The following is a 14,882-nucleotide window of genomic DNA, read 5'->3' as shown; positions in this document are numbered from 1 at the left end:
TCCAGTCCCAATGTGCTTGTCTTTCATTGGACAATAATTTTCATTTTCTCCAGTAGTTTTAAAATTACTTTGTATCTATTCTAGGTATCTTTTACTCTATCATAGTTAAGACATTGATGTTATTTATGAATTTGTTCACGTTAAACTCATGTTCTTTCTTCATTTCTATAAAAATGTCAACCATTTTCTTTGCAAGTATTTACTGAATAACATACTCCTTATTTCCTTCATTCTGAAAGTGTGATCCAAAGAGAGATATCTGTTTCCTCTTTTCATTCCATTTCTTGTGTGCATTAATTATCTTTTCTATTTTTTTCATTTCTAGTTTTTCTCTGATGACTAATGAAAAATTTTAGTAAATATTCTACACCAATACAATGTTTATCATTTCAGCTGTGTCTTGTTCTGGATGAAATTATTTCTAAATGTGTTAATATAATTTACTATTTTCACATCACAATAGCTTCCTAATTCATTTCTACAATTGCCTGTTTTTTCTCTAACGGACTCTTTGATTTTTATTCCTCTGGGGTGGGTTTTTCTCCCACACACCTGATCTTCCATATAGGGTTTCTCCCCAGGCTGACTCAGGAAGGAAAGCTGATGAGGGCATTGCTGTAGCCGCTCCTGCCCTGCGGTGTCCATGCTCCCAAGCTTAGAATCACCTCTGTGTTATGCCCGGCATGGCGGGGTCCATGTGAGCCTCACACTCCAGGGTCAGAGATGCCCGGTCCAACAATGATAAAGCGCATCTGTGTCATGCACACCCGGGAAGGTGGCTCAGTGCTGAGTGTAGCCCGGGTCACTGAGTCATCCCAGGGTCTGTCCACAAACACAGAAGAGGGGGAGTCACAGTCTCTAAGGTCCCACAGTTTCCTCCACTTTTTTCCTTGTTCTGAGAGTGAGACAAAGGGCCATGACTGTTCTGTGGGTTGGACAGATGCATGTTTCCACCTGCAGGCTGGAACCCAAGCTGAGGTCTTGAGCATCCCCAAGTACTGATAAAGCACTTTAGGTTGTTTCTAGAAAACACTGAAAAATTAACCCTTTTGCTAAAAGTGTAGAAACAAGCCCTCCCCTGAACCAAATTCCTGAAACTCTCAGGTTAAACTTCGTAACCCCATCCCTTCACTGCAGACTCCCAATAGAAAAGTTACAGGTGCAAGGATGAGATGACTTTGGTCAAACTCAGACCCCACAGGGCCAGGAAGGCCTGAAGGAGAGGAGGCCCATGCTTCCACGTCTCAGATAAGAACTGTTTCTAAGGACTTTTAAAAAACCCATAAGAAACTCTTCCATGTCCTTCAGCCCCTTCTGCTTTGACAAGGTTTATCACTAGATGTTCTTTAGGACGTCAGGAATTCAGATAAGATGCTCTCAAGAGAACCATTGACCAGCAACAGCATCTCCTCCAATGGACTGACAGCAACTCTGGCTTTGAACCTGTGGAACCAGGGAACTCTGTTTCCAGGCAGCTCTGTCAGGCTCTCCCTTGTTGCTGATAAGAACTTCCTTTACCTCTCTATGTACAGAGAGCTCTCTCTACGGTGCTTTTCCTCTACTCTCACGTCACAGGAATCATCAACACAGAAAAAGACTTCTAGGACCAGATGTATGGGGTTTTTTTCCCCAGACGCAGTAGCGAACAGCAGCTGGGTGTCCTCTAAGTCAGCTCTGGTGCTGTCTACCCAGAGACAGTCCCGGATCCCACAGATTGAAGGCCCATTCCCCAAAACTGCCCCCAACACCATTCCCAAGTCCAGACCTCCAGAACTTCTGACTGACTGGCTTCAAGTTGGGGATCCCATGCCCCACTCTTTGGGTTTGATTAATTTGCTGTAGCAGCTCACAGAACTCAGGAAACACTGACATTTCCTGGTTGAATACAAAGCACACTGCAGAGGACACAGATGAAGAAACTCATAGGAGGAGGCATGGGGGAAGAGGCCCGGGGCTTCCATACCCTCCCTGGGCGTCGCCCTCCAGGAGCCTTAGCATGCTCAGCCACCCAGAAACTCATGAAACCCAGTCCTCTGGGGCTTTTATGAAAGCTTCATGACATCAGCATTTCCTCCCACAAGGAACAGGGTGAGACTGTCTTCTGGGAGGGTCTTAAGATCCACTATCAGAAAGGCAGGGAACATTCGAGTCTTACTTTGGGTTAGGTGAAGGAAGGGCAGGAGGAGGTCAGAGGCCTCCCCTGAGGCCCAGCACAGCCAATGTTATAACAAAAGACTATAACAAGGGCTATGGGAGTTACAAGCCAGGAACTGCGGGTGAAAACCAGCATATATCACAACATCACACTTCCCTCTCTGGACACACTGTGGCTTGCCATGCCATGCACTCCATATTGTAATCCTTGCTTCTCACTCCCAAATAAACTCAAAATCCAGGCAACCCTGGAGCAATGCAGCCTTGAATTCCAGGGGTCTCTTATATGCACACTTTTTCCAAACAAACGGGGATCAAAACTATAGCATTTGTGAGAAACAAGACTTGCGTATATGAACGGCAGACTTTTCCTATATGCAGACCCAGCAGAGACAACGTCAGGGCTGGAGTACGAGCAAGTGTTGGTACATGTAGGGGGTACTGAAACGAATTGCCTGTGTATCCCAAGAAACAACTGTACTGAGAGATCATATTTTCTAGGGGTTTATTTTTGGTTTTGTTTTTATTTTAGGTTAAAGCTTTGGATAGAATACCCAGTGTCTCCTTGTCCATCTGAAGAACATGCTGCTATGTGGAAGCACATCCTTGAGATCCACAAGGAGACACTGGGCAAGAAGACAAGGATGCCCCACTGTGCAGAGGTCCCCCTAATAAATGCTCTATGAACACCCTGGTGTTTAGTGCTTCTTTCCTTGGAATTCCAGCAGGTCTGGACAGTTTGGTGCACTCCCTTGAGGGAATTCCCCTGGGCTGCTTGGGGTCCACTCCAGCCTCAGGTGTAGCTAGAGGACGCAGCCTCCCACCTTGGTCTGGAGCCCTGAGCCCCTCACTGTCATTGCAGATCCCGGGGTTCCTCTCCCGGCTCCACTCAGTGGTGGAAACCTCCACCCTAATGAGCCCTTGATGGTCCCGGGACCCTGTGGCATCTCACCTCTGGCCTCTGTTCTTTCTTGTGAGTCCGTCTACACTTGGGGTTTCCACATGTCTTTTTCTGCTCATGACCTTGATACTCTGGGTATTTCAGAAATGCTACACATACGTTTCTCCATTACGGTCAGATGTGACATCTTGAGTGGACTCATCAATCACCTACAGAATGTGGAGTCCAACAGCAAGATCCTCTCACGTCCCAAAGCCTCAGGTCTTACCCTGGTCTGGAAATCAAGCACAAATGAGCCCCTCCCAATGTCCCAGGCACCACTGACCCCACAACCACTGTGACGAGTGGGATTCATGACAACAATCTGCAAAGGAAGAAACTGAGGCTCAGTGATGGGACATTACAAACCAAGGTCACGTAGGCAGCGGATGATAACCAGTCATCAAATAAATATCAACTCCCTCCCCCACTCCCCAAATCAAAGCTCAAACATAAGTCATTGTTCCCAAAATGTTGACCAGGAATTGAGGTGCAGAGGGACGGCTAAGGACGCAATGGGCACCGAGGAGGCAGGAAAGACTCAGAGGTTTCTTCCCGGGGGGGAGGGAGTGGACGCTGGAGCAAAAACATTTAAAAAGGGGAAGTTAAGAGGGGACTATTTGGTTGAAAGAAAACCCACAATCCAGTGTCAAGAAAGAAGTCAACTTTTCTTCCCCTACTTCCCTGCATTTCTCCTCTGTGCTCACTGCCACACACAGCTCAACCTGGACAGCACAGCCAGAGGCGAGATGCTTCTCTGCTGATCTGAGTCTGCCTGCAGCATGGACCTGGGTCTTCCCTGAAGCATCTCCAGGGCTGGAGGGACGACTGCCATGGTAAGGACCCCACAACGCTGTGCTGATGGATGGGCTGAAGGAGGGAGGGTGACCATGTGGGAAGCTGTGAGAAGGAAGGGGAAGCCACTGCTACCCTCATCAGGAAGGGCAGACACAAGAAGCACCAGTTCTATTTGCTGCTACATCCCGGCTCTCGGTGAGACGAGGAGAAACCAGACAGACAGTGGCTGGGGGTCAGGAAAGACCCCATTACAGTCTGAAATGTCTGCAGAGGGCCCAGTGCCTGCCCCCACCTCAGCTCTAAAAGAATGAGAGTCAGGCTCCTGGGAGGGCAGTTCCGCTTCTTGTGTGGCTGCAGATGACAACACCCCATGAGAAGGACCCAGCCTCTGAGTGTCCACACAGGGTGGGAAGGAGGGGAGGCTATTTCTCTCTGTGTGTCTCTGTCCCGCCAGCACCGAGGGCTCATCCATCCGCAGAGCAGGGCAGTGGGAGGAGACGCCATGACCCCCATCGTCACAGTCCTGATCTGTCTCGGTGAGATTTGAAGAGAGAGGGGAGCTTCTAACCTAGGAGGGACCTCACCCCACAGCCAAACTCTGGTCCCTAAGGAGACCCCAGGGGCTCACAAAGATCCCAGGGAGGGGAGGACCTGCTCAGGCTTCAGGGGGCAAATCCCTCACAGGGAACTCTCTTCCAGGGCTGAGTCTGGGCCCCAGGACCCGCGTGCAGACAGGTGAGTCTGTCCCCAGCTCTCCCAGGTCCCTCCTCCTCACTGGGGACAAGGGGCCACCTCCGTGCAGCTGGGGATGGGGATTAGAAGTTCTGGACTGACTGATGGGGGCATCTGGAGGGTCCTGGGCTGAGAGCTGAGATCTGTTGGGTGGGAAATGACTTCGAATCTGACCTTTGATTTCCTTCCAGGGACCATCCCCAAGCCCACCCTGTGGGCTGAGCCAGACTCTGTGATCACCCAGGGGAGTCCCGTCACCCTCAGTTGTCAGGGGAGCCTTGAAGCCCAGGAGTACCGTCTATATAGGGAGAAAAAATCAGCATCTTGGATTACACGGATACGACCAGAGCTTGTGAAGAACGGCCAGTTCCACATCCCATCCATCACCTGGGAACACACAGGGCGATATGGCTGTCAGTATTACAGCCGCGCTCGGTGGTCTGAGCTCAGTGACCCCCTGGTGCTGGTGATGACAGGTGAGAGGACACTCAGGGATCCCAGCCCCAGGCTCTGCCCTCAGGAAGGAGGCTCTCAGGGGTGTCTCCCTCTCACAGCCCAGCCCTGGGGATGATGTGGGAGGTGGGAGCCCCATTTAACACGATGCCTCCTTCTCTCCTAGGAGCCTACCCAAAACCCACCCTCTCAGCCCAGCCCAGCCCTGTGGTGACCTCAGGAGGAAGGGTGACCCTCCAGTGTGAGTCACAGGTGGCATTTGGCGGCTTCATTCTGTGTAAGGAAGGAGAAGATGAACACCCACAATGCCTGAACTCCCAGCCCCATGCCCGTGGGTCGTCCCGCGCCATCTTCTCCGTGGGCCCCGTGAGCCCGAATCGCAGGTGGTCGCACAGGTGCTATGGTTATGACTTGAACTCTCCCTATGTGTGGTCTTCACCCAGTGATCTCCTGGAGCTCCTGGTCCCAGGTGAGAAATTCACAGCATTGTCTGGAGTTCCCTGAGTCTCCCTGAGTCTCCAGGCAGGTGGGGAGCAGCCGTGTCTCAGGGCAGTTCCAGGTGGGATGATGTTGGGGCGAGAGGGCTCAGGGGTCCTGGGGCCAGAGACACAGGAAGATCAGCAGTGGTGAGGCACCGGGGGAGAGGGAGGGTTTGTGGGGAAGCCTGAGGGTCGGCTCCTGGAAACCATGAGCACCTTTTCCCAGGTGTTTCTAAGAAGCCATCACTCTCAGTGCAGCCGGGTCCTGTCATGGCCCCTGGGGAAAGCCTGACCCTCCAGTGTGTCTCTGATGTCGGCTATGACAGATTTGTTCTGTACAAGGAGGGGGAACGTGACCTTCGCCAGCTCCCTGGCCGGCAGCCCCAGGCTGGGCTCTCCCAGGCCAACTTCACCCTGGGCCCTGTGAGCCGCTCCTACGGGGGCCAGTACAGATGCTACGGTGCACACAACCTCTCCTCTGAGTGCTCGGCCCCCAGCGACCCCCTGGACATCCTGATCACAGGTGAGGAGCCCAGCGGGTTCAGTCAGGGACCCAGACTCTGCACAGGCCCTGCCGGGGGAATCCAATTAGTGATGGCCAGGATGAGGCGGGGGGTGGTCCCAAGGGAGGGAGAGACAGAGAGAGAGACAGGGGATGGGTGGGGAGGGGAAGACTCAGAGAAAACAGAGACAGAGGCTCCTAGAGAGGCCTGGGGAGGTCTCAGCTCAGAGCAAGGTGGGGCAGCCCCTCACCCATCCTTCTTCTCTCCAGGACAGATCCGTGGCACACCCTTCATCTCAGTGCAGCCAGGCCCCACAGTGGCCTCAGGAGAGAACGTGACCCTGCTGTGTCAGTCATGGCGGCAGTTCCACACTTTCCTTCTGACCAAGGCGGGAGCAGCTGATGCCCCACTCCGTCTAAGATCAATACACGAATATCCTAAGTACCAGGCTGAATTCCCCATGAGTCCTGTGACCTCAGCCCACGCGGGGACCTACAGGTGCTACGGCTCACTCAACTCCGACCCCTACCTGCTGTCTCACCCCAGTGAGCCCCTGGAGCTCGTGGTCTCAGGTGGGGGCCTTGACCCTGTCCTCTCTGAGCTCAAAGGCTCAGCTCAGGCCCTGCCCCCCAGGAGAGCTCTGGGCTGGGATGGAGTGAGCGGGGGTCTGAGCGGGGCTCAGCCAGTGGGAGACTCACCCTCAGAGGGAAGGAGGACAACAGGCCCTCCCAGGCCTGCGCACACTCAGCGGCATCGCCAGCATCATGGACAGGAGAGGCGGGTGGAGGGAGGGGCCTGGGGAGGCCACAGGGCCCATGTAGAGAAATTTGGTTTGAGGTGGAGACTTCAGGAAAGCCCCAGCTCCTCACCCTCCTCTCATTCTTTCACCCAGGACCCTCCATGGGTTCCAGCCCCCCACCCACCGGTCCCATCTCCACACCTGGTGAGTCCCTGAGGCCTCTGGCTCGAAGGGAGCGCAGCGACCCCCAGGGCAGCTTTGAGTGTCCAGGAGGATCCCATTCCCTTCAGGGACTCAATCAAGGGCTTCTGTCCAGGGAGCTGGGCAGAGCCAGAGGAGGGGCCACAGGGTCCCCAGGGCTCTGAGGCTGGGCTGGTGAGGGGTGGGGGGTCAAGGCAGAGAGAAATGTTGGGGCCCAGCCTGGGGGAGGAGCAGCCGGGCTGATGTGGGGAGCAGGGCAGCCCCAGCCCTCACCTCCCCGTCCTGACCCAGCAGGCCCTGAGGACCAGCCCCTCACCCCCACTGGGTCGGATCCCCAAAGTGGTGAGTGAGGGGCTCTGAGTGGGAGGTGGGCGGGGTCCCGGGGAGGCAGGGGTGGGTTCTGTCCTAGGTTCAGGCTCCTCTGGAGGTGGTGATGTAGACAGGCTCCTCCCCTGCCTGGGCCTCAGTTTCTCCAAGTGTAAAGGAGAGAGGCCTGCAGGTGGGAAAGTTCCTTTCAGCTCTCACTCCCAGCTGTGACCTCCTGGGAGAGGAGGCCCCTCAGGGAAGACTCCAAGACTCGATTCCGCGGGGGCCTGTCCCGTCCCACCTGCAGCAGAGACGGTGACCTGGGGCAGGGGAGGGGAGCAGAGTCGTGGTTCAGGACGGTAAGGCTCTTTCCCTGCAGCTCCGGGGCTCGGCTCTGGTGCAGGAACAAGGGCTGCAGGTCAGACTCCCAGGCTCCCTTCCCAGCTCTGCCGCTTCCTGGCTGGGGGCCCGGGGCAGGCGATTCCCCTCTCTGAGCGTCAGTTTTTCATCTGTAGAGTGGGTGGGGTGGATGTTTGTGTGCTGCACGACTGTTGTGGGGGTTGGAGGTGGTGAACAGAAGGTCCAGCAGTCACCTGCACACAGTAGGCGCTCATTTCAATGACATCACCCCCATCCCTGACATCATCGTGCTCAAGGTCTGGGAAGGCACCTGGGGGTTGTGATCGGCATCTTGGTGGCCGTCGTCCTACTGCTCCTCCTCCTCCTCCTCCTCTTCCTCATCCTCCGACATCGACGTCAGGGCAAACACTGGACATCGAGTGAGTAGGGAAGGGGAAACCCTGTGGGCCGACCGAGGGTGGGCTCAGGGCACAGCCAAAGAGAATCCAAACCACTGGGCAAATGCAGCTTTGAGAAACTGTTCCAGCATTTCTCACCAGGTGAATGGAGAAAGCACTTAACGTCAGTCCCATCTACAAATATAAAGTGTCCTCCGGGCTCAGTCCCATCTACAAATGTAAAGTGTCCTTCGGACTCTGTCCATCTCATGAGGCATTTGGAACATGGAGGCAGGAGTGTTTTTAGGTTTCCTTCCTTACCTTCGAGCTGTGTGTGCAGGGCAGGGGGCTCCAATGTTCCCAGGGCTGAGGCTCTGTCCTTCTTCCCCCAGCCCAGAGAAAGGCTGATTTCCAACATCCTGCAGGGGCTGTGGGGCCAGAGCCCACAGACAGAGGCCTGCAGTGGAGGTAATTCTGCCCGAAGACCCCAGACTCCCACCTGCTCGTGGCCCATACACTGCCCCTAAAGCTCCCATTCCTCCCCCAGGTCCAGCCCAGCTGCCGACGCCCAGGAAGAAAACCTCTGTGAGTGAGAGGAAGAGGTGACCAGCCAGGAGGGAGATAGGGGCCCCGAAGTTTCCGTAGCAATGGGGAAAGGGGCACCGGCTGGAAAGGGTCTGGGGCTCAGGGTGAGATCATCTCACCCCACACTGTGGGACCTCAGGGACATTGCAGCCCCTCCCTGCATCTCAGTAGCCCCATCTGGGAGCAGGGCAGGGGCTGGCAGGACTCAGAGGTCCCAGGGAACCTTCCCAAGAGACGAACCCCTTGCTCTGCCCCAGCAGATGCTGCCGTGAAGGACACACAGCCTGAAGATGGGGTGGAGATGGACACTCGGGTGAGACCCCGCCCCTGTCCCAGGCACCAAAGGCCTCCTGGTGCCAGATCTAATCCAGCAGGACTTCTCTGTCCTCCTTCCCCCGGCTCTCAGCATCGTCACGGTGGACCCCTCCTTGTCCAGCACGCTGCCTCCCGCCTGCTGTGACCTCACTCTCTCCTGCTGTCCTGGGACCTCGTGGGCCTCCTCCCGGGTCCCCTTCCTGCTCCTCATCCTCTGTTTGGCCGTCTGGTTGTTAGAGCGCTCCCCAGGCCTCTGGAGGATGAGGAATAAATGAACCACCCCGGTCCCCTGGGCTCCCCTTCATTCATTCAACCAGTGAGTGTTCCCAGGGAGCTCACTGTGGATCAGGCTCCCCATGGGAGCTGCAGACACAGCAGGGAGCAAAGCCGCCCCCGCCTCCTGAGCTCACCTCATGGTGGGAGACAAAATGCAAATAAATGCGCCATGTCCAGGAGTGCAACGTGCTTAAAGGAACATACACCAGGGAAAGGGCAGAGAGTGTGGGGCAGTGGGGCCAGTCTGAATGGAAGGGGAGGGCTGTCTGCTCAGCTGTCATCTGAGAAGCCTGGACAGAGTGGGGCACACGATCCTCTAATGGACGAGCCCCTGCAGGCAGAGGAAACAGCCGTGCAAAGGCCCCGAGGCAGCAGCGAGCTCTTGCGGGAAGGCCCATGAGGCTGCAGCCAAATGGGCAAGGTCAAAGTGAGGAGCAGAGGCCAGAACCACAGGAAGGGAGCGGCCAGACCCTCCACGGCCTTAGGGCGTCCCTGAGATTCCATCGGGAAAGGGATGTAATCGGATCACCCCGGGAACAGTGAGGAAAATTGACTCCAGGAGGTCAGGGGGACTCAAGGACACCCCCCACCACTGTCTCTCTCCAGCAGAGCCCACATGATGAAGACCCCCAGGCAGTGACATATGCCCCGGTGAAACACTCCAGACCTAGGAGAGAAATGGCCTCTCCTCCCTCCCCACTGTCCGGGGAATTCCTGGACACAAAGGACAGACAGGCAGAAGAGGACAGACAGATGGACACTGAGAGAGTCCTTTCCTCTCCAGGCCCCCAGGCCTCCCCCACCCCCACCACGTTCCTTACCTCTCACTCTCCCCCGCTGCAGGCTGCTGCATCTGAAGCCCCCCAGGATGTGACCTACGCCCAGCTGCACAGCTTGACCCTCAGACGGAAGGCAACTGAGCCTCCTCCATCCCAGGAAAGGGAACCTCCAGCTGAGCCCAGCATCTACGCCACCCTGGCCATCCACTAGCCCGGAGGGTACGCAGACTCCACACTCAGTAGAAGGAGACTCAGGACTGCTGAAGGCACGGGAGCTGCCCCCAGTGGACACCAATGAACCCCAGTCAGCCTGGACCCCTAACAAAGACCATGAGGAGATGCTGGGAACTTTGGGACTCACTTGATTCTGCAGTCGAAATAACTAATATCCCTACATTTTTTAATTAAAGCAACAGACTTCTCAATAATCAATGAGTTAACCGAGAAAACTAAAATCAGAAGTAAGAATGTGCTTTAAACTGAATCACAATATAAATATTACACATCACACAATGAAATTGAAAAAGTACAAACCACAAATGAAAAAAGTAGAAACGAAAAAAAAAAACTAGGAAATGAATGACGTTGGCTTTCGTATAAGGAATTTAGAAAAAGAATAACCAATTATTCCAAATGAAGGTGTAAGAAAGGGAATAAGAAGAAGAAGAGTTGCTCATGAGGAAAAACCAAAACTTGAAAATTCAACAAAGCCAATGAAGCTCATTCTTGAAAATATTAATTACAGTCATAAATCCTAACTACATTGAGCAAGAGAAAGAAAGAGCAGGCACGCATTTCCATATGGGAGTGAGCCAGCAGACAGCCCAGCAGATCCTACACACATTTTCACAAACTAACCCCAGAACAGGCTGCAAACCTATACCAATATACTAGAAAATGCAGATTAAATGGATGAAATATTCAAAACTGGAGTTTACATAATGAACGTAAGAGTAATCAGAGAATCTGACTCATTTTAAATGTGTGTGTATGTGTGTGTATATATATGTGTGTGTGTGTGTGTGTGTGTGTGTGTGAAAAACATTGACTGTAATAAAAATGTTCCCATCGTATCAACTCCAGTTCAGGAAGTTTCACTGGTGATTTCTTACAAATATTGACGCACTAATGAAACACACAAACACACCCAGAGCATCACAAATGTTTCTTGAGAATAGAAAAAGAGGCAATGTGCCCGGGTGCGGTGGCTCACGCCTGTAATCTCAACACCTAGGGAGGCAGAGGCCACAGATTACTTGAGGCCGGGAGTTCAAGACCAGCATGGCCAACAAGGCAAAACCCCATCTCTACTAAAAATACAAAAATTAGCTGGACATGGTGGCGCACGCTGCAATCCCAGCTACTTGGGAGGCAGAGGCAGGAGGATCACTTGAATGAACCCGGGAGGTGGAGGTTGAAGTGAGCAAAAACAAACCCCCTACAATTCAGCCTAGGATATGTTTATTAAATTTACATTTGTCTTTTTGCTTAAGATTGCTTTGGTATTCATCCTCTTTTTGGTTCCATATGAATTTTAGGATTTTTTTCTAATTCTGTGAAAAAAATGATGTTGATATTTTGATGGGAATTGCATTGAACCTAAATATTGCTTTGGGAAGTGTGATCATTTTCACAATATTGATTCTGCCAATCCATGAGCATGGGATATATTTCTATTTTGCTGTGTCATCTACGATTTCTTTCTGCAGCATTTTGTTGTTCTTCTTGTAGAGATCTTTCACCTCCTCAGTTAGGTATATTCTTAGATATTTTTAATTTTTTGCAACTGATGTACAAGGGATTGAGTTTTGCAGCAACCTGGATGAGCTGGAGGCCATTATTCATGACACCACATCCAGCTAATTTTTGTATTTCTTGTAGAGATGAGGTTTTGCCATGTTGCCCAGGCTGGTCTTGAACTCCTGGGCCCAAGTGACCCGCCCGCCTTGACCTCCCAAAGTGCTGGGACTGCAGGCATGAGCCACGGTGCCTGGCCCATCATAGCACTTTTGATCATTAGGATAATTCCTTCTCCTTGTCATTTTTGGACACATGCTTCCCACATGCCTCATCTTCCAGAGAGGGTTTCCACCAGGGCTGTGCTGGGAGTTAAGGCTGGAAAAGGGGAGATGGTTCCACCTGCCAGTGCCACATGAGTCTACTCAGGGCTGTAACCAGCAGGGAGGGTCCAGTGTGAGCCTCAGACTCGCATGTGGGACAGACGCCCATGTGTGACAACGCTGCAGTGAATCTGTTTCACACACATGGAGGAGGCGGCTCAGGGCTGACCATGGACCTGAGTCAATGAGCAGAGATATCCCAGTGCCATCCACAAACACAGGGGAGAAGGAGCCACAACTTCCCACTTTCATCCAAAACCCCGACCCCTCCCTGTCTGTGAGGGCCCTGGGGTTCTCCTCTGTCTCATACAGAGGCAGAAACCTCCCCCTTAGTGACCCCCAGCTTTGCAAGTCACCAGCAGCCCCTCGGCGCTGGCATCTTCTGCTTCTTAAGGTTTCCTGCCTATGACAGGAAGTCTCATTTCTCATTTTCTTCATTGGACCATGGCTACATATTTCAGACACATTATAAGTAGGTTTTCCCAGTGTTAGGAGCAGATGTGGGCTGTTGAGCACATAAGTCACTCACCGTGACTGTGCAGTCCAACACCAGGATCCACTCATGTTTCAACCCCCAAGACTTAACCCGGTCTGGAAATGTACCATGACTGAGGCCCTCCCATGACCCAGGCACCACTGGCCCCCAAAACCACTCAGGAGGGGGGTTCATGACAACAGGCTCCAAATGAGGAAACCGAGGCTCAGAGATGGGACTTACTGCCCAAGGTCATGCACGCAGGGATGAAGGTGAGCAATTCAGAAAAAATTAACTCCCTATCCCACCCCCAAATCAGAGCTCAAGACAAGTACTTGTTCCCAAAACCTTGAAGGCAGACTGAGATGCAGGGGAATGCCCAAGGAAGCGGGGCTGGGGGTGGGAGGGACGCCAAGGAGGCAGGAATGACTCAGAGGTTACTTTTAAGGGAGGGGGACCTGAACACTATTAAAAAAAATAGGAAGAAAAAAAAGAAGGGAAGTCTAAGAAGGAAACTGGAAGAAATAAAACCCATACTCCAAAGACAAAAGAAGAGTCAGCATTTCTTTATTTCTCCTTTTTTCTTCTCATTGCCAATTGCAGCTCAACTTGAATTTCACAGCCCGATGTGAGATGCGTCTCTGCTGATCTGAGCCTGTCCTGCAGCATGGACCTGCAACTTTCCTGAAGCATCTCCAGGGCTGGATGCCATGGTAAGGATCCCGCAATGCTGTGTTGATGGACAGGCTGAAGGAGGGAAGAGGACCCCACAGGGAGGCTCTGAGAAGAAGAACAAGCCCCCACTCACCCTCACTTGGACAGGACAGACTCAGAAAGGTGCTGGGTCTATCGGCTCCTACGTCCTGACCCTTGATGAGATGAGGACAGATGAGGCAAATCGCAGAAAAGGGTCAGGGAGATACCATTTCTGTATGAAGTATCTGAAGACAGCCTGGTGCCTGCCCCAGTCCCAGCCTTGGGGAAATGAAAGTCAAGCTCCCGGAGAGGGCAGTTCCCCTTCTTTTGGGGCTGATGACGGGACAACCTCGTGATGGAGAACCCAGGTTCCCAGTAGATTTACTCCATCCAGGAACGGTGGCCTCATCCATCTGCACAGCTGGGGGCTGTGGAGGAGACGCCATGACTCCCTCCCACAAACCTCTGATCTGTCTTGATAAAATTGAAAGAGGGAGAGGGGAGACTGTAGCCTGGAAGGAATCCCACCTCACAACTTGGTCCTGATTGAATAGAAGACCCCAGAGGTTCACAGAGATCCCAAGGTGGGGAGGATCTGCCCAGGGTTCAGGAGGCGAATCTCTCTCAGGAAGCTCCGTGACCCCCTCTCTAGTGTCACTCCTGTGCCTCAGTGGGATTTGGAGAGGATGCCTTAGATTAGAGGGTATTGTTCAGTGGGATTTGGAGAGGATGCCTTAGATTAGAGGGTATTGTGTCTTTCAGCAACAAAACCGTACAAAAAAACACCTGGACATTTCACATCAGTGGATAAAGCATATCTTGTGCCAAATCAGGACCAAACTGCGGTGAAATTTCGGGTTCACACTACAGTTAATCGCCTTTGAGGAAAGCATTCCAGGTTGGTGCCTATCTCTGCGATAAACGTCTCCCTTCCTGGCTACAGGTAATGGATTAAAGCGACACTGGCCGAACAGACACTGTCTTCACCCGATGATTATACTGAAAAATGGCCATAAAATTGTTCCCTCCAAATCCAATTCCCTTTGTGACAACTCTCAAAAGAAGATATACGAACGGTCCACAAACATATGAAAAACATGTATGTGTATGTGTGTATATACACACACACAGCACGGAATACTACTCAGCCACAAAAAGGGACAAAATAATGGCATTCGCAGCAACCTAGATGCAGTTGGAGACCATTATTCCAAGTGAAGTAATTCAGAAATGGAAAACCAAACATCATATGGTCTCATAAGTGGGAGCTAAACTATGAGGATGCAAAGGCATAAGAAGGATATAATGGAATCTGGGGACTCACAGGGAACAATGGGAGGGGGATGAGCGATAAAAGACTACACATTGGGTGCAGTGTACACTGCTCGGGTGATGAATGCACCAAAATCTCAAAAATCACCACTAAAGAGCTTATCCACGTAACCAAACACCACCTGTTCCCCAAAAGCTATTGAATTTTTTTTAAAAAAATAATAAATTAAAATAAATGTACTACATTAAAAACAACAACAAAATGGCAAAAATCCAATTGCACATAGCAAAATGTTTTCGTGGTCTCTGCACGCTAGAGCAT

At 52.2% G+C, this 14,882-nt stretch overlaps 1 protein-coding gene and 1 non-coding gene across 8 annotated transcripts, besides 2 other annotated features; one reads left to right on the top strand and one right to left on the bottom strand.

Annotated features, from left to right (window-relative positions):
• Nucleotides 1-2,710: 2,710 nt before the first annotated feature.
• On the bottom strand, nt 2,711-2,782 carry MIR4752 (microRNA 4752). The gene has a single exon (NR_039907.1). It is a non-coding gene; the product is annotated as a microRNA 4752 (primary transcript).
• Nucleotides 2,783-3,780: 998 nt separating this feature from the next.
• Nucleotides 3,781-11,079, top strand: LILRB2 (leukocyte immunoglobulin like receptor B2). 7 transcript variants are annotated; one of them, NM_001080978.4, is made up of 14 exons: nt 3,781-3,930; nt 4,347-4,428; nt 4,592-4,627; nt 4,816-5,100; nt 5,244-5,546; nt 5,783-6,079; nt 6,329-6,631; nt 6,952-7,002; nt 7,294-7,341; nt 7,962-8,084; nt 8,435-8,510; nt 8,590-8,627; nt 8,888-8,940; nt 10,062-11,079. In NM_001080978.4, the coding sequence occupies exons 2-14, from the start codon at nt 4,395-4,397 to the stop codon at nt 10,206-10,208; spliced, it is 1,794 nt and encodes a 597-aa protein (NP_001074447.2). In that variant the 5' UTR covers nt 3,781-3,930; nt 4,347-4,394; the 3' UTR covers nt 10,209-11,079. The 7 variants fall into 7 exon arrangements, 6 of the variants coding, with proteins under 6 accessions (NP_001074447.2, NP_005865.3, NP_001265333.2 ...); NM_005874.5 differs by having other exon boundaries at nt 7,291-7,341; NM_001278403.3 differs by lacking the exon at nt 3,781-3,930 and adding an exon at nt 4,008-4,087.
• Nucleotides 4,668-5,867: an enhancer, noted in NCBI's record as "CDK7 strongly-dependent group 2 enhancer chr19:54782879-54784078 (GRCh37/hg19 assembly coordinates)". NCBI's record gives its function as "activates an origin of replication core promoter dependent on BRD2, BRD4, P300/CBP, MED14 and CDK7 cofactors, with strong dependence on CDK7, by STARR-seq in HCT116 cells {active_cell/tissue: HCT116}" and the evidence as "EXISTENCE:reporter gene assay evidence [ECO:0000049][PMID:35650434]".
• Nucleotides 9,371-10,335: an enhancer, noted in NCBI's record as "H3K4me1 hESC enhancer chr19:54778410-54779374 (GRCh37/hg19 assembly coordinates)". NCBI's record gives its function as "activates a minimal SCP1, AML or CMV promoter by ChIP-STARR-seq in naive H9 embryonic stem cells {active_cell/tissue: H9 hESC(naive)}" and the evidence as "EXISTENCE:reporter gene assay evidence [ECO:0000049][PMID:30033119]".
• Nucleotides 11,080-14,882: the final 3,803 nt, after the last annotated feature.

The sequence above is a fragment of the Homo sapiens genome, chromosome 19 (assembly GCF_000001405.40).
Source record: "Homo sapiens chromosome 19, GRCh38.p14 Primary Assembly".
NCBI classification, from domain to species: Eukaryota; Metazoa; Chordata; class Mammalia; order Primates; family Hominidae; genus Homo; species Homo sapiens.
The sequence above is the reverse complement of the archived record's forward strand: the minus strand, read 5'-3'. Positions and strand labels throughout refer to the sequence as shown.